This window comes from Homo sapiens, chromosome 7, assembly GCF_000001405.40.
Source record: "Homo sapiens chromosome 7, GRCh38.p14 Primary Assembly".
Taxonomy (NCBI): Eukaryota; Metazoa; Chordata; class Mammalia; order Primates; family Hominidae; genus Homo; species Homo sapiens.
In genome coordinates, this window is record NC_000007.14 from 34724340 (window position 1) to 34742590 (window position 18251).

The 18251-nt window shown below is 39.2% G+C and overlaps 1 protein-coding gene and 1 long non-coding RNA gene across 8 annotated transcripts in view; one reads left to right on the plus strand and one right to left on the minus strand.

Moving 5' to 3' along the window:
- NPSR1-AS1 (NPSR1 antisense RNA 1) overlaps positions 1 to 18251 on the minus strand; it is a 487820-nt gene that overhangs the window by 377828 nt on the left and 91741 nt on the right. For all 3 annotated transcript variants that reach the window (NR_033665.1, NR_033664.1, NR_015356.2), the window contains one exon: positions 4398 to 4477. This is a non-coding gene — a long non-coding RNA (NPSR1 antisense RNA 1). The remainder of the gene's footprint in view (positions 1 to 4397; positions 4478 to 18251) is intronic.
- Positions 1 to 18251, plus strand: part of NPSR1 (neuropeptide S receptor 1) — a 220115-nt gene that overhangs the window by 66122 nt on the left and 135742 nt on the right. The gene's annotated exons all lie outside the window — the stretch shown is intronic.

Consider the following 18251-nt stretch of genomic DNA (forward strand, 5'->3'; position numbering starts at 1 on the left):
AGTTGGATGTAAACTTATTCATTTCTACCCATAAGCCCACATAGCTTTACTTCCTGACATCTGTTCTCTCCTCCCAGGATCGGAAAGGTTTCTTCCTTCTGATAAAGTGTGAAACATTTGTGAGGAAAAGGTGGGTTCAGAGAGGGAGAGAAAGACGACAGCCTGATTCCTAGATCTGAGGTGGGACGCAGGAAGATGGATTTCTTTTAATTCCCCCTTCAAAGTTATTCCTCCTCATGTGCTTTTGGGACTATGCTTTGAGAATCTCTGGAGTGGAGTATCTGGTGGTCTGCACATAGTGGTGAAGAGCGTGGAGTCACAGAATTTGGGGTAAAATCCCAGCTCTATGTCTAATGAGCTGGGTGAACTTGACAGGTCAATTCACTGGCTAAGCCTCACCTTACCTGTTTTTAAAATGGAGAGTGGTGATATAAGAAAAGTGCTTAGCATAGTATCTAGGTTACAGTAGGTGACCAATAAATGGGAGTGATAACTACCATCATTATATTACATGGAAAGTACAAAACAAATAGTATCATAGTATGTAGCAAAGTCCTCATTTTGTTGGAAAAGAGTGATTAAATAAAACCGCAAATGTCTGTGCCTGTGGGGTGAGATGAGGGAGATGTTCAACGGTAATAGACAGCAAAGTGTTACCAAGCTACCCAAATGGATGATCCATTTAATTTCTACATGGAAAAGGAGCAAAAAAGGAAAGGGACCTCTGAAACCCTTCTAAGTACCCACACACACACAGACTCACACACACACACACACACACACACAGACACACACACACACTCACACACACACAGAGCTCTCAGAACACTGCTGCCAGAGGGTGAATGCAGATACAACTTTCATAACCATTGCTGAAATCACATATATTCCAAGAAGGGAAAATACTTGTAAAACTGAAACTTATTAATTAAGATACTATAGCCAAAATGGATGTCACAATGCTTGTCTGAATACCCATAATAACATTTATGTAAAATTTACTATGTCCCATCAACTGTCCCAAATCCTCTACCGGGATAAGATCACGCTATCTTGACAGCCACTCTAGTTGGTAAGTGTTGGTTTTGAGACATCTACAATTGAGGATACTGAAGGACAGAGACACTAGGTAATCTACCCAGGCTGCACACCTCATAGACAGTTGAGGCAAGACTCATATATAAGTTAACGCATCCCAGAGCCTGTGCTCCCAAACACAGCCCTCATACAGAACTGCTCCTGTAGTTAAGAACATAGTGAGGTCCCCAGAATGTGGGCAAAATCTAGTGGAGAGACTCTTTTCCGCCCCATACCAGCTGTTTTCACCAGATTGTTAGTAAAAAGAAAGTGGATCAAGAGAATGAGAAGACAAGCCACAGGCTGGGAGAAAATATTGGCAAAAGACAGACATCGGATAAAGGACTATTGATATGGTTTGGCTGTGTCCCCACCAAAATCTCACCTTGAACTGTAATAATCTCCACGTGTCAAGGGTGGTGCCGGGTGGAGATAATTAAATCATGGGGGCAGTTTCCCCCATACTGTTTCTGTGGTAGTGAATAGGTCTCACGAGATCTGATGGTTTTATAAATGGGAGTTCCCCTGCACAAGCTCTCTTGCCTGCCGCCATGTAAGATATGACTTTGCTCCTCCTTCACCTTCCACTATGATTGAGAGACCTCTAAATCATATGTGGAGCTGTGAGTCAGTTAAACCTCTTTCCTTTATAAATTACCCAGGCTCAGGTACGTCTTTATTAGCAGCATGAGAACAGACTAATACAACTATGGTACAAAATATAACAGAATTCCTAAGACTCAACAATAAGATAACAAATAGCCCAATTAAAAATGGGTAAAAGACTTGAACAGACACCTCACCAATAAAGATACACAGATGGCAAATGAACATATGAAAAGATGCTCCACATCATATGTCATCAGGGAATGCAAATTAAAGCAACAATGACATAGCACTACACATCTTTTAGAATGGCCACCATCCAGAACACTGACAACACCAAATGCTGGTGGGGCTGTGGAATAACAGGATTTCTCATTCACTGCTGGTGGGAATGCGAAATAGGACTGTCACTTTGGAAGACAGTTTGACAGTTTCTCACAAAATTAAATATACTCTTACCATATAATTCATCAATCACACTTCTTGGTATTTATCCAAATGAATTGGCAACTCATGCCCACACAAGAATCTGCACATGAATGTTTATAGTAGTTATATTCATAACAGCCAAAACTTGGAAGCAACCAAAATGTCCTCAGTAGATGAATGGAAAAACAAACTATAGTACATCCAGACAATGGAATATTATTCAGCACTAAAATGAGCTATCAAACCATGAAGATATGAAAGAAAATTACATGCATATTACTGATTGAAAGAAGTCAATCTGCAAAGACTACATATTATGATTCCCAAGTATATGACATTCTGGAAAAAAACAAAACTATGAAGACAGTAAAAAAAAAAAAAAAAATCAGCAGCTTTCAGGGATTAGGGAGGGGGAGGGATTAATCAGCAGAGCATGGAGGATTTTTAGGGCAGTGAAACTATTTCATATGTTATTATAAGGGTGTATATGTGTCATTGTACATTTGTCTAAACCCATAGGATGTACAACACCAAGAGTGAACCCTAATGTAGACAATGGACTTTGGGTGATGATGATGTGTCAATACAGGTTCATCAATAGTAAGAAATGTACCATTCTGGTATGGGATATTGAGAGCAGGGAGTGGGGGTTGTGCATGTGTGGGAGCAGAGAGTATATAGAAACTCTGCACTTACTCGATTTTGCCATGAACTTAAAACTGCTCTGAAAAATAAGGTGTTTTTTTTAATGATGCATATTTGCCAATTATATTTTAATAAAGCTGGGAGATCAAAAGGAGTGGAGGCTATCTTCAAACACATGTGCAGCCTTTTAAAATTCATTTATAAACAGGATCTCCAGGAGGGTGATCATGTTTATCTTGTTCACTTTTTAAAAAGTCATTTTGAAAAAGCAATAAATTCAAAGGAAATTGCAAAAATAAAGAGGCCTGATGTATTATTGACCAAGTTTCCCTCAATGGTTTTTGCATAACATTTAACGTAACTCTAGTTTGATATCAAAATCAGGACAATGATGTATGTACAATGTGTGTATAGCTGGACACCACTTTGCTACCTGGATAAGTTCATGTAGCAACCACCACAATATCTTGTTCACTTTTGTCATCCGGTGCTGATCATGATTCTCAACAATACTCTTAAGTGACTCAGTCAACAAACAAATAAGCAAGTGAATGAACAGATGACTGAATCCATGACATCAGTAAAGAGCATGTGGTTCTTCTGATTTGCATATGCACTCAGTCAATCTCACAGATCATTTTTATTTGTATAAAGCCTTGAGCTGAGAGCAGTCTATTAAATACAAGGATTGGGAGCACCTCACCACACATTAAAGTGCCCTTTCTTCCACTTCAACTTGACTAATTGAGCCTATGTGAGTGTAACTGCCATTCTCCCAAAGATCGTTATTGAAATAATATAACATAAAAGTGGAGGAAATGATTTTTTAAAAATCCCTGATGATAGGAAAGAGTGCTATCCATATGGTTAAAAAAAAAACCTGAGGCTTTCTTGCCAGATTCAGAACAGGTGAGATGGAAAACCACCATCTGGGAAGAAAAACAAAAAACTGCCTTTATTTTTTTTTTTGAGGTGTAAGTTTTTTTTATTATTATTATACTTTAAGTTTTAGGGTACATGTGCACAATGTGCAGTTTAGTTACATATGTATACATGTGACATGCTGGTGTGCTGCACCCATTAACTCGTCATTTAGAGATGGGAAGAGATACCCATCAAAACTTCATTCTCAACCCCCAAACCAAGAGCTGGAAATAAAAGGTGTACAAGGTGCCAGTTACAGAGGAAATGCACCAGACCCTGTCGCTGGAACAGGGTATCAGAACATCCTCCCAATCTATTCTGGGCCAAGGAGGCATGCTGGAGGCGGGCTGGGCTGAGCTGGGTACATGATGTGGGGTGCACGCTGGCAGAGCCAGTTCCCACCTGAGCCAGTGATGCTAACTAGAGAGGCGTGCAGTGCCTCATCCCCCGACAAAGCTCAGAAGCTCCAGGTAGAGCAGACGCTCTTGCCTTAATCTTTAAAAATAACTGGACTTTGATCTGGCCAAATGGAACTGGAGAAAATTCTCCCCCTCCTTTTGTCTGTTCACCTGAGGTTTTTCAGGAACCATCCAAGCAATTAAACAGGAGTGACATTATCTCTGAAGAAAATAATTTCAGTTACCAGTTTGGTATTATGAAAGACCCTTGGGAATAACCCCTCTGATGGGCTTCAGACCCATGATAGCTATACGTACTTGTTTTCTTCTCACAAGAAACTGATGGGCATGAAGATTGCAGTGACTGAACTGTCTCCCTGCGTTTCTTCTCACATAAGCTGTAAATGGGAACAAAGAGAGAAGATTAAATGTCTGTAAATTTTCATTGCAGCCCCTTTTTGTTTAGAAAGCATTTCTGCTTACCTTTTATATTTCTATTAAATAATAGAGAGAAATTTACTCCTCCAGCTCCCAAGAGAAGAATGAAAGTTAAATTAGAATTTATAGTGGACCCACAATTTCTGACCTAAGAACATTAATACAGGAATCCAAACCCCTCCCAGCTCTTCTTTGCTATAGTCATCACCCACTCAGAGGTTCAGCTCTGAACAAACCCCTTCTGAGCCTCTCCCAGGAAGCCTTATCAACCCACAGTCCAGAACCACCTTCACCGTTTGAGAACCTCACAAAGGGTACTTGCAGTGCTAGTGATGCCTACAGACTGCTTGGCCTTGTACTTGAGATGGAGTGAAGACGAGGGAAACCCCTTGATTGTTCTCAGTTTTCCCCTTTGTGCCTTGAAATTTCCATCTCATTGTGAATAAAAAAGTCAAAGCATATTCAATCCCAGAGAGGGGTTGAATCCCTGAATTTCACAAGATTGAAAGATCATGAAAAAATTGACCCCCTCTGGAAAGATGAGAAAAATCAAAAAGATCAATGAACACATACAAAGAGTCTGTATCTATGGCTCTTATTAACAGTGACTAAAGAATTTATCTGAGTAATTTAGCTAATTCAACTCAATAAGGAAACAACATAATAAAAGATATAACTGAAAAAATGAAATTATCAATTTGGAAATGATATGATTAAGAATAAAAAACAAGATTGTTTTTGAAAAATCATTGGGCCTAATAAGACATGTAATTAAAGAAGATGATTATAAAACCAACAAATATAAAAAGCAACTAGCTTCTCTGTACACTATCAATAACCAATTAGAAAATACAATCTTAAAAAACAAAAGATTAAATATTCAAGAACAATCAAAATACAAAATGCATATGAACAAACTTTTTTGTTTGTTTTGGGGACAGAGTCTTGCTCTGTCACCCAGGCTGGAGTGCAATGGCACGATCTCAACTCACTGCAACCTCCGCCTCCCCAGTTCAAGTGATTCTTCTGCCTCAGACTCCCAAGTAACTGGGACTACAGGCACCCACCCACCACACCTGGCTCAATGTTTATTTTTTAGTAGCAATGGGGTTTCACCATGTTGGCCAGGCTAGTCTGGAACTCTTGACCTCAGGTGATCTGAGTGTCATGGCCTCCCAAAGTGCTGGGATTACAGACATGAGCCACCGTGCCTGGTCATGAATAAATTTTAAAAGAATTGTGATGACTTACATGAAGAAAATCGCACAAGTTTACTGAGTGACATTTTAAAACTTTAATAATTGAAAATCCATTCAATGTTCCTGGTAAGGGAACAGAATTAATGGTCAGAAACAAATCAAATATATATAAGAACCTAGGATTTTTTTAAGTGCATTTGAAATGAATAGAGAAAAAAGGGATCATGTCTCCAGCACATTGATGTTCCTGCTTTTCTGAACACACTTAACTCTGTGTTGCCTGAAGACCTCTGTACTTGCTGTTCCCTCTGGCCTGAACAGTCTTCCCTCAGAGCCTGTTTCTGATCTCTGCTCAATGTTCTTTTAAAGGATAGCAGTGTCTTGGGGTCTTTATAACTTTGGGGCTTATCTATGGCTAGCAAATGTAGGACATAGGTGTGTAGAGTATGCAAAGCAGGAAGGCTCTCAATGGTTAAATATCTGTTTATCTGGTTATGTTTAAAACAATTGGATGTGTAAAAATTTGAGCGTGGTGCTAGTGGGCATTTAAGCTAACAGATCTCAGCCTACTATGAAGAAGTCATAAACCCAGGAGTAATATACAGAAGCCTTCTGGCTCATGTGCATGACACACCCCACCTAATTCTCAAGCTCCTCCCTCTTCATTTTTTATTATAGCAACTATCACTCTGTGACATTATAATCTATATCTATTTGGTTGTGTGTCTGTTATCTGTTTTTCTCATTAGAATGTTAACTCCATGGAGGCAGGAACCATGTCATCCTTGTTGACTGCATTTTCAGTACCAAAAAAAAGTGAGTGCCTGGACAGAATGGAAACCTAATAAACATTCACCAAAGGAAGTAGGAGAGGAGAGGGGCAGGAGAGAATATAGTAAAATAGGTTAAAGTTTCCAATATAGCCATGAAATTATTTTTAGGAAAAGAATTTCAATAACTCGCATAGAAAAAGATTTTTTAAGCATGATACCAAGGCAGAAATCCTTACAAAAGACTAACAGATTTTACTGCAAAATATAAAATTTACAAAATTTAAATTGTAAAGATTTTTTTAATACAAATAGAATTATAAACGGATTTAAATGTTTAGAATATAAATAATATTTACATAGCTGATCAAGAGTTAATATACTCACTAAAAAAGGACTTTCTACAAATCAATAAGTAGAAGATAAATACTTAATACAAGAATAAATACAAATATAGGAACAAGTAAGATACACACAAAATGCAATTCACCAGTAAACCTGTTTTAAATGTTTAATTTTGCCAAAAACTAAATAAATGAAAATAAAAATAACAATGAGTTACCAAATTTTCCAATAAGAAAAGAAAGTAGGTTTTAAGAAATTGGTAGTGCATTAGGCCATTTTTATTAAATAAACCTAAAATGGTATCAATGAAATATTTAAAAGTACCCCTGGGTTACATTTTGCTTTTTGGTACTTTCTAATTATTCCACCAATATGTATTACTTATGTAATTCAAAGAAGTGATTTTACAAGAAAAAATAAATAGTATGGTAAATCGCTGGCTCCTAGAGAGTGGGCCAATCTTGGAAAACAATGCCCCAGTGCTGAGAACTGTGTAGGTAAGTTGCATCTTTCAGTAGCACAAAGGAGAGATTGGTTTTTCACTACTTTAGATGAGGGCCAGGAGCTGAGGGGTTAATAGTGCACAGATAAATCTTGAAGGACAAATGAAGTTTTCCACATGGCCAAAGGAAGGAGAAATTATAGGCAGATGAATAGAACGTGTGAAAAGAGAGGAACACAAGACAGCATGGGCCAATGTAGCATCATAATAAAAATAAGCAACACAAGGCCAGGTGCAGCGGCTCATGCCTGTAATCCCAGCACCTTGGGAGGCCAAGGCGGGCAGATCACCTAAGGTCAGGAGTTCAAGACCAGCCTGGCCAACATGGCGAAACTCTATCTCTACCAAAAAAAATTAGCCAGGCTCCACGGCATTCCAGCCTGGGTGACAGAGTGAGACTTCATCTCAAAAAAAAAAAAAAAAAAAAAAAATAGCAACACTTGGAATTCTCAGTTTGTAGAATTCACAACTGATACTAAAAGTCTATCATGTAACAGGGCTCCGGTTGAAGTTCACCTCACTGGTTATGAGTTAAAGACAGGGTTTTTGATGAGACTGACACAGAAAATGTCAGCAAGAAAAGAAAGGACACATTTCTCTGATCTCGCACTCTGGGGAATGCTGGAACAGGTCATGAGTGTACCTTCTGCAAGAGGGGCCCAGCTCCCTTTCTCACTCATCAAGAAGTTGCTCAACTTTCTAATATATCAGTAGATAAAGCAAGTTTACCAGTGAGGGGAAGCTAGTGGTGGGGGCAGGAACTGGACCACTTGGGCACCAGAGGGTATGATTTTGATGTCATTTGTTTAGCTGCTTAGGAAAGCCACCCACTGCCAGCTTAAGATTCAGGGGAAGTTGAGATCAGGTGCAGCCCCACCTCCTGACATGGGGAAAACTCATTGTCCTCACTCATTCATCATGCAGGCAACCTGGGGAGAATTTCCACGGTTGCTTTTGGACTGCCCTATTTGTGATACCAGAGCTCTATGACATTTCATTAATTTTAATTTTACTGAGGCTGAATTTGACTCACTCATGCTTGAAAGGTAGGGTGTATAACACATCACTAAACAAGCAAATGAGGCTGTGGACCACCAGCAGTCACATCTCAACTAGACTTCTGTTCAGGTATTTATCAGCACATATGCATGCTCACTCACAAAATGAGTAGCCACAAAGGGGTGCTAATTCCTAATGATGGTGGTGGCCGTTAAGAGTGAAATTGGTAGTTCTTGGACAGAAAAGAGAGTTCTGGATAAATGACAAAGAAGAAAAATATTAACACATCTAAAAGTTTGCATGTGAATACAGCACTTGGTAAAAGTAAAGGTGATTTGTGAAGCTGTTTTAATAATTTCTTGAACCAATTCAAAAATTGCTCATCAACTTAAAAATTAGACAAATGAATGATGAAACGGTGGTTAACAGAGTGTTAACAGGTCACTGACTCATTTAAGAATCCATGCAGGCCAGGTGCAGTGGCTCATGCCTGTAATTTCAGCACTTTGGGAAGCCACAGTGGGTGGATCACGAGGTCAGGAGTTCAAGACCAGCCTGGCCAACATGGTGAAACCCCATCTCTACTAAAAATACAAAAATTAGCCGGGCACGATGGCGGTTGCCTGTAATCCCAGCTACTGGGAGGCTAAGGCAGGAGAATTGCTTGAACTCGGGAGGTGGAAGTTGCAGTGAGCCACGATCACGCCACTGCACTCCACCCTGGGTAACAAAGCAAGATTTTGTCTTAAAAAAAAAAAAAAAAGAAAAAGAAAAAGAAAAAATGAATCCTTGCAGAGCAAAAGTACTATCAAGGCTTTGCAATAGCCTATCCTGCAAAATAAAAGTTAGTTCAAATTTTTAGGAAATATTTTTCTTTGCAGAATTTAGATTCTCTTTGTGAAGAGACGGCTTTTCATGATCACACCTGTATATAAATGTGGACTCAATAGGAATAATTAACATCATTCATCACTCTTGGTCAGTGCTATCATAGAGATGTAATGCAATATTTTTGTGGAGGATCTTTTCATGACAAAGTACACTCATTGCTATTTAAATTACATTACTTTTGCATTTATAGAATCTGTGTGGAAGTCACAGTTTTTCCATTATAAGTTATGGCCTTCTATGGGATAAAATTACATGACTTTCCAGAAAATGGAGTTTCACAACTGTCTTGAGATATTTCTCTTACGAATGCCGAGGACTACTTTGGTACTGCTATAGAAAACTGGGAGGGGGAAGGGACAGAGATGATATTGAGGAGATGGACAATGAGGTTGTCTTTAAAGCTATGCAGAGGTTAGGGTCACAGAGGAGTCATAGTCATGGGAGTGACAGAATCAGATTGGTGTTTTACAAATATTCCCCTGGAAATGAATGGAGGACAGATGGGAAAGAAACCAGATTGGAGGAGGCAGGTTGACAACTTAGGAAACGAATTTAATAGCCCTGAAAAGATGATGAAGATCTAAAGTTAGGTTCAAATCCAGTGGTCCTCAACTTTAGCTAGATATTAGAGATGGCTGAAGAGCTTTTGAAACTACAGATGTTGAATATCATTCCAGATAAATTGTATTTAAGAGTGACATCTGGGTATCAATTTTTTAAAGGTCCCCAGATAGTTGTGATGCAAGGTAAGAATTGAGAATGCTACTCTAAACCAAACAAGGCAATAAATGTGGATACATTCAAAAAGCTTTTAGAAAACAGATGATGACTGATGGATGGGAATGGAGAAACAGGCAGGCCTCAACTTCCAGATATGTGTCTTGAACAGCATGGATGATAGGGTCGAAAATATTAACACATTTCAAGCTTTGAAAAAAAACACTAAGGTATAAGTTCCTCAAATCTAACCTGCCCTCTCCAGGCCCACAGACTGGGAGTGGCAATCAGCAAGGAAAACCTCTATTACTCCAAAAATAATCTTTTCTTTGGTTGGGAAAAGTAAGTCTTCTCAAAACTCACAAGAGAAAAAGCACTAAAGGTGCTTGTTCTGAAGGGAGATCTGGATGTTGAAATAGCAGCATCCCATTATGTGAGATTAGATTGATGATTTCTTCAATACTGAGATGGAGCGAGTGTCCTCAGAGGACAGTGTTTCTCAAGAAGGTGGTCTAAATGACCACAAAGTTTGATAATAATTAACAGATTTCAGTCTCCATGAAAACCCGTGTTACCTGCAAGTGTGTTCTCTGTCACCTCCTATTGGCCTTATATTTTTCTCTCTTAGCTTGCCCTCTTGGCTGTACTTTTTTCTGAGATGGTGTTATGCAATCTCCCCACAAGGGACCTCAGTAGCACTAGGCTTACACCACCCTTAGAGTGAGTAACCAGTCACTATGGCCATGGATGGACTACTCTGGCCAGCCCTAGGTCATAAGATAACCCTGGTTAAGGAGAAAGAGAGTCACCACCACCTAAACCATGTGGATGAAGACCTGGTTGGGGGAAAGATAATTGAGATAGTGTTATTAGAAGAAGAAATATTTTTAGGGTAGGCAAAAACAACAGATGATGACTAAAACCTCAAGAGAGTCTCTCCACTCCCTTGGCCCTCATCAGGGTCATGCACCTGAGGAATGATTCATGGGTGACTCTATCCCCTCCCTGGTCTCCATTCATAGCCATGTGTGGAGGCAGAGATGACCATGCTGGAGAAGAGACCACCCCAGAAGACACAGCTAAAATAAAGGCAAATTTGTTGTGCCATTCTTGGCAGGGCCATCTCTCTTGTTTATTATCCTGGAGCCCTCTTCCCCTCCTCTGTTTTGCTGACCTTAATAAATGAATACATCAATATATGTTTGGAAATACATCTGTTTCTACATACCTTATGCCTTCCCTCCAAAGAATAAATTAAGTGATTAGTAGAATATAAGAGCTGAAAATGTGAGAGCTATCTGCTCAGAATCCAGATAAAACAGAATGGGGCTTATGAAAAGTAGTGCTTGATTAGTTAGTTTCAAAAATCCTAAAACAGTGTTTTCAAATGTTCATTTCTTTGAAACAGTAGTTAAGGTTTTGATACTCTCCCCTGAGGAAGTCATCTAAAACTGCTGATAAAGCTTTTGGCAAAGAGCTTTTCATTACGGGGCTATTTATAACAACAGAAAACCGTAAACAACTTAAATATCCAGCATTGAAAGAACAGTTAAATAATAGATGGTAAATCCACACAAATAATATTATGTTCCATTAAAAACTATTGACAATAAAATTGTAATAGTATAAAAAAATCTCAACATGAATAAAAAGCAGAATAGAAAATTATATATGCACCATAAACTCCAGCTATATAAAAAAGTGAAGCCTCACATTAAAGACAGGGATGAGAAGGATCATTTAATAATGTAAATAAGAGTTGTTTTGATGGTGATAAAACATATAAGATTGTCATCTCCCAACTTTCTACTTTCCTCTAGTTTTTATATTTTGAGTAAGAATAATTTACACAAATAACTTACCCATGTTTAGTTCTCAGTCTTCATCTTGGTTAAGCTGTCAGCAGAATTTGACACATCTGATCACTCCCTCCTCCCTGAAACAACCTCTCTGCCCTCCCCGTCTCCTCTAGTCTTCATATAATAATACAATATAATAAAGGTATCTATTTATGTGTTTGTCTGACACACAATACTGTGAATTCCTTTACAGCAGGTACTATGCTATACTCATCTTCATCTGTTTTTTCTCTCCTTACCCAGATTGAATTCCACAGTCATTTTTATAAGTCTCTTTTGCACATCCTCAACTTCCTTCACCCTGCCTCTTTTCATGATATTACTGGCAAAACTACAACCCTGGTAAAATCCTGCTTTTTCTCTCTTTGTACCCACACTGGCGAACAAAGCTGGAAACAAACACACACATGCACACACACACCCTACCTACTCTCCTTGCTTACTTACTTACTTACTTTATTTATCTATCTATTTATTTTAGAGACAGCATCTCACTCTGTTGCCCAGGCTGGAATGCAGTGGTGCCATCATAGCTCACTGCAACCTGGAACTTCTGGGCTCTAGTGATCCTCCCGCCTCAGCCTCCCAAGCAGCTAGGACTATGGTCATGCAGTACCACAATCAGCTCATTTTTGTATTTTTTATTTTTGTAGACATAAGGTCTCTCTCTCCTTACTTTAATAACCTAGAACTCAAATAAGTCACAGATTCTACCCAGCAACCATATGCTTATTCCCTTACGGTTCATTGAATTCTCCAAAAATTATCATTAGAATTTTTTAAATATTCGCAATTTTCACAGGATAAGAAAGCAGTATTTCATCCTACATCTCGCACTGCCCTGAACTCTTTCTTACTTTCTCTCTCTTCTAACTTTTTAGCACCTCCTCTTTCATCCTCTCCTCAACCAGATGACTTTGTTTCTACTCCACTGAGAAAGCTGAAGCAACAGAAGGGAATGTCCTCACTCCCTGGCCTCTCTATACCTTTGCTGCCAATATCAGCATTCATATCCCCTGCCTCTCACCTGAAAAGTATGAGTAAACTCTCCATGTGACAAGGTTAAACCATCTTCTCATGTTTTAGACACCACCACCTCTTACCTACTCTAGATCTTCGCTCCAAAAATCTTCCCCCAACCCCGATTAAGTTTTCTCTTTCTGCTGATTATTAAAATCCACATTTTTCATGCTGTTCTTTCTCAAACACTGAAAACACAAACGAAAAAGAAGAAGCTTATTCATCCCACTTTTCCCTCCATCTCGCACTGCATTTCTTTACCACCCATTAGAGGAAAACTTCTTGCAGTAATTGTCCATACTCACTGTAGTCAATTCCTCTTCTCCCATTCCCATTCAAATTGTCTAGCCAGGCTTCTGCCAGTAAAGTGGCTCTGGTTTAAGTACCCTTCAGTAACTTTCATATTCTAAACCGAGGGTCGATTATTTGAACGGACAGTAGTATTCAACACAACTGGCCACTCCCTCTTCTTGAAAATACTTTTTTACTTGGTGTCTAGCCACCAAACTCTCCTGGTCTGCTTCGATCCTATGAATTGCTTCTTCTCAGTCTCTTTTATTGGTTCCTTCTCTTATTTCTGACTTTATTAATATTTCTCATATTAATAGAGTCCCTACCCCTCAGATCAATGCTTGGATCTTCTTCTGTACTTAGGGACATCATCATGTCTTGGGGCTTTTAAAGTGTCTCTACACGGATGACCCCTGAAGTGATATCTCCTTCCAGGAGTTCTCTTTTGAACTCAAGTTTCCTTAGTCCAACACAGACTATGTTTACTGCCTATATCCCACCACCGGAATGGAAACTCTGTCCAAGGAAGATTTTTATCTGTTTTATTCACTGCACCTAGAAAGGTGCCTGGCACATTACGGACATTTAACAAGTGTTTTTGAACGAAAGGATAAATAAATAAATGGGAAATTGGAGCATTATGGTTGAAGGCCAGGAGAGAGCATTTTTGGAGGCATAAAGAGCCAAAATCAAATCAAAGCATCTTGAACAAGAAATTCATAAAATCTTGCCTTTTGTGTACTATAGTATCTTCATAAAATCAATTAGGCAATACCTTCTTTCACTATTCTCTAGAAGATTTTGTAAAAGACCAAAATGAGATGTTTCTTGAATGCCTGGTGGAATTCACAGGTAAAACAATCTGGGCCTGATGCTTTCTTTCTAGGAATATTTTACACTAACAGATTCCACTTCTTTAGGGTTACAAAAACAATCAGGTTTTCTATTTCTTCTCAAATTATTTTTGGCAAGTTATTTTTTAGGAATGTGTGCATTTTATTAAAGCATTCAATTTACTGACATAAATGTGTCAATAGTGTTATACTATTTTTTTCTGTCTCTACTGTACCTATAGTTGAATGTCTGATTTTTACATCAAATAGTTTGTTTTTGGCTTCTTTTTTTTCTTGTAATTTATATCACAAATACTTTTTCAGCTGGCTTGATTGATCCTTTCTATTATATTTGGGGTTTTTATTTGTTCCCTGCTTTTGTCTTCTTCATCTCCTTTCCTCTGATTTAAATTGATTTATATACCATTATTCTTTTTCTAACATCTTTTTATTTTAATTGAGGTAAAATTTATATAACATATCATTCATCAAATTAACCAAGTGTACAATTAAGCGGCAGTTAGTACATTCAAAATGTGGTCAACTATAAGATCTATCTAGCTCCAAAACCCAAAAGGAAACTTAATAGGAAACCTCAGAACCATTAAACAGTCACTTCCCCACACCCCCCATCCAGCCCTAGCAACCATGAGTCTGTCTATGAATTTGCCCATTATGAATATTTCATATAAATGGAATCATGGTAGAATATGTGGCTTTTTGTTTCTGGCTTCTTTCACTTTGCATAAGATGTTTAAAGTTCATCCATATTGCAGCATGTATCAATACTTCATTTTTTTATGGCTGAAAAATAATACTCCATTATTACATATTATGTTTTATTTATCAGCTCATCCACTGATGGACATTTGGGTTGTTTCCAGCTTTTGGCTATTGGGAATGATGCTGCTATTAACAATCAGACATAAATATTTGTTTGAAACCTGGTTTCTATTCTTTTAACTATATACCTAGGAGTAAAATTGCTGGGTCATATGATAATTCTATGTTTAACTTTTTAAGTAAATACAAAATTGTTTTCTACAATGACTGCATCTTTTTATATTCTCATCAGCAATGTACAAGAGTTCTAACATCTCTACATCCTTGCCAGCACTTGTTATTTTCCTTTTTTAAATTATAATCATCCTAGTGGCTGTGAAATGGTATCTCTGTGGTTTTGGTTTGCATTTTCCTAATAATTAATGATGGTGAGCATTTTTTCATGTGCTTGTTAACCATTTGTGTATCATCTTCAGAGAAATGTCACTTAAGTCCTTTGTTCCATTTTTTAGTTGCATGTCCCACAGGGTATTCCCTTGATGTAGTACTCTCCCCACTTTTCCTAGGGATGTGGCTTCCTGAGAGCTGAGCTCTAGTGATTGTTATCTCTCTTTTGGATCTAGCCACCGAGCAGGTCTACCAGGCTCCAGGCTGGTACTGCCAGAGTCTGCCCAGAGTCCTGTGATGTGAACCATCTGTGGGTCTCTCAGCCATGGATACTAGCACCTGCTCTGGTGCAGGTGGCAGGGGGGTGAAATGGACTCTGTGAAGTTCCTTATTTTTGGTTGTTTAATGCATTATTTTTGTGCTTGTTGGCCTCTGCCAGGAGGTGGTGTTTTTAAGAGAGCATCAGCTGTGGTAGTATGGGGAGGATCAGGTGGTGGGCAGGGCCCTAGAACACCCATAAGTATACGCCGTTTGTCTTCAGCTAGCAGGGTGAGTAGGAAAGAACCATTAGTTGGGGACAGGGCTAAGCATGTCTGAGCTCAGACTCTCCTTGGGAAGTCTTAGTGCAGCTGCTGTGGGTAATTATGGTGTGGTTCCCAGGTCAATGGAGTTATGTTCCTGGGAGGATTATGCCTGCCTCTGCTGTGTCATGCACATTGTCAGGGAAGTTGGGGAAAGCTGGCAGTCACAGGCCTCACCCAGCTCCCAAGCAACCCAAAAGGCCGGTCTCACTCCCACCATGCCCCGCCAACAGCACTGAGTTTGTTTCCAGGCAGTGGGTGAGCAGGGCTGAGAACCTGTCCCAGGCTACCTGCCTCCCAGCTGTGAAAGCAAGTAGAGCTTCAGTACTTCCCCACCTGTGGAGTCTGCATACCAGATACACACCCTCCCCCAAGTTCTGTCCAGGAGACTTCTAGTTTGGTAGCAATTGTTACGAAGTTCAGCTGGAGGTTTCCTTCTCCTTGTAGCCTTTTCCCAGTGCCTCTGGCAGCACTCCCCAAGGACCCCTGTGAGGCAAGGCAGAAATGGCTTGTTAGGGGACCCACAGAGCCCACAGGGCTTTCCTGCTGCTTCCTCTACCCCTGTATTTCACTTGGCTCTCTAAATTGACTTAGCTCCAGGTATGGTCAGAATATTCTCCTGTCATCTAGACCTTTAGGTTACCTAGTGACGGTGTGTGTTTGGGGGTGGACAATCTCCCTTTCCCACTTTCACAGTTTGGGCACTCACAGGATTTGGGGTGTCTCCTAGGTCTTGCAGGAACAATCTGCTTCCTGCAGAGGGTCTGTGGGTTCTCTCGGCTTTCCTGATTTATTCCTGCAGTCATTCTGGAGCAAGAGTTCATGAAGCAAGACTCCACATGCTGCTCTGTCCATCTAAGTGACAGCTGCAATCTAGTCCTGCCTCCTGTCCACCGTGAGCCTCTGTAAATCCTGGATATGGAATTCTTGATTGACAGGATTATTTTTCTTTCAGCACCTTAAATATGTTATCCCATTGCCTTATGGCCTCCATAATTCCTGAAGAGAAACCTACTGTCAATCTTATGGAGGCACTCTTGTACATGACAAGTCATTTCTTTTTTGTTACTTTTAAGATTGTCTCTTAGTCTTTGGTCTTTCAGAAATTTAGTAACATGGTGTCTTGGTATGGATATCTGTAAGTTTCTCCTTGGAGTTCATCAGGCTTTTTGCATGTGTAGATTTGTGTCATTTGGGAAGGTTTTGGCCATTATTTCTTTAAATATTCTTTCTGTCCCTTTATCTCTCTGCCTTCCTCTAAGATACCCAGAGGTGAAAGCTCAGGGTCTTCTCATGTTTTTTTTGAGAGTTTATTCAGTCCTGAGTATGCATTTGATCTCTTTGATTTACTTGTACATATTAGTGCTTTTGAAAATTGTTATTCCCCCATATATCTTCTTTCCCAACCTCATTCTTCCTAGGATTCTTGATCTATTGTTTGTCCTGACTGTTATCACCTGCTCCAAGCTGCTGTGGACAATTCCTTTGGCTTTAAATATTTTTTAGCAAATGTGGTTCAGGAAGCTCTATGACCCTGGGAATATTCTAAGTTAGGTAAAACAAAGGCACACTTTGTACTGATCCTTCAGGGACCCTGGGAATATTCTAAGTTAGGTAAAACAAAGGCACACTTTGCACTGATCCTTCAGGGAGCTGCCAGACAGTCAAAACACACAACCAAAACTCTTCAAGAATAAAGTCTATACTGTCCCCTGTGACATTAGCAAACTGGAACAGTATTTTCATGGCCACCATTACTCTGGGGAAGAGGGGTGACAAGCAGGCAATTTTAAATTCTCTAACACCCTCTTACCACAATGCAGCAGCTTCTTTCTTCATTAAGCTTCCCCTGGTTGTTGTTAGTTTTTCACTGTGTTTCCTAGTTCTGTGAAAGTTGATTCTACCAGTTTTTGCCAGCATTTGTTGCTGGATGTATGGAACCTTAGAGTTCCCTACTCTGCCATTGTTGGCAAAATCAATTGCACCTTTTTTTAACTTGTCAAATTAGTTGCTTAGATAGTTTATTTTCACTTTCTTCTTCTCTAATATAAGCAGTTAGGAACCATAAGTTTTTCTCAAGGATTTTTTAGTTTCATCATCTCACAAATTATAATGTGCTATTCTCTCAATCTCTCTCCTTTTTTTTTTTTAGGTTTGGGGGTGCATGTGAATGTTTGTTACATAGGTAAACTCATGTCACAAGGGTTTGTTGTATAGATTATTTCATCACCCAGATATTAAGCCCAGTACCCAATAGTTATCTTTTCTGCTCCTCTCCCTCCTCCCACCCTCCACTTTCAAGTAGACTACAGTGTCTTGTGTCTCCTTCTTTGTGTTCATAAGTTCTCATCATTTAGCTCACACTTGTAAGTGGGAACATGCGGTATTTCGTTTTCTGTTCCTGCATTAGTTTGCTAAGCATAATATCCTCCAGCTTCATCCATGTTCCCACAAAAGACATGATCTCATTCTTTTTATGATTGCATAGTATCCCATGATGTATATGTACTACATTTGCTTCATCCAATCTGTCATTGATGGGCATTTAGGTTGATTC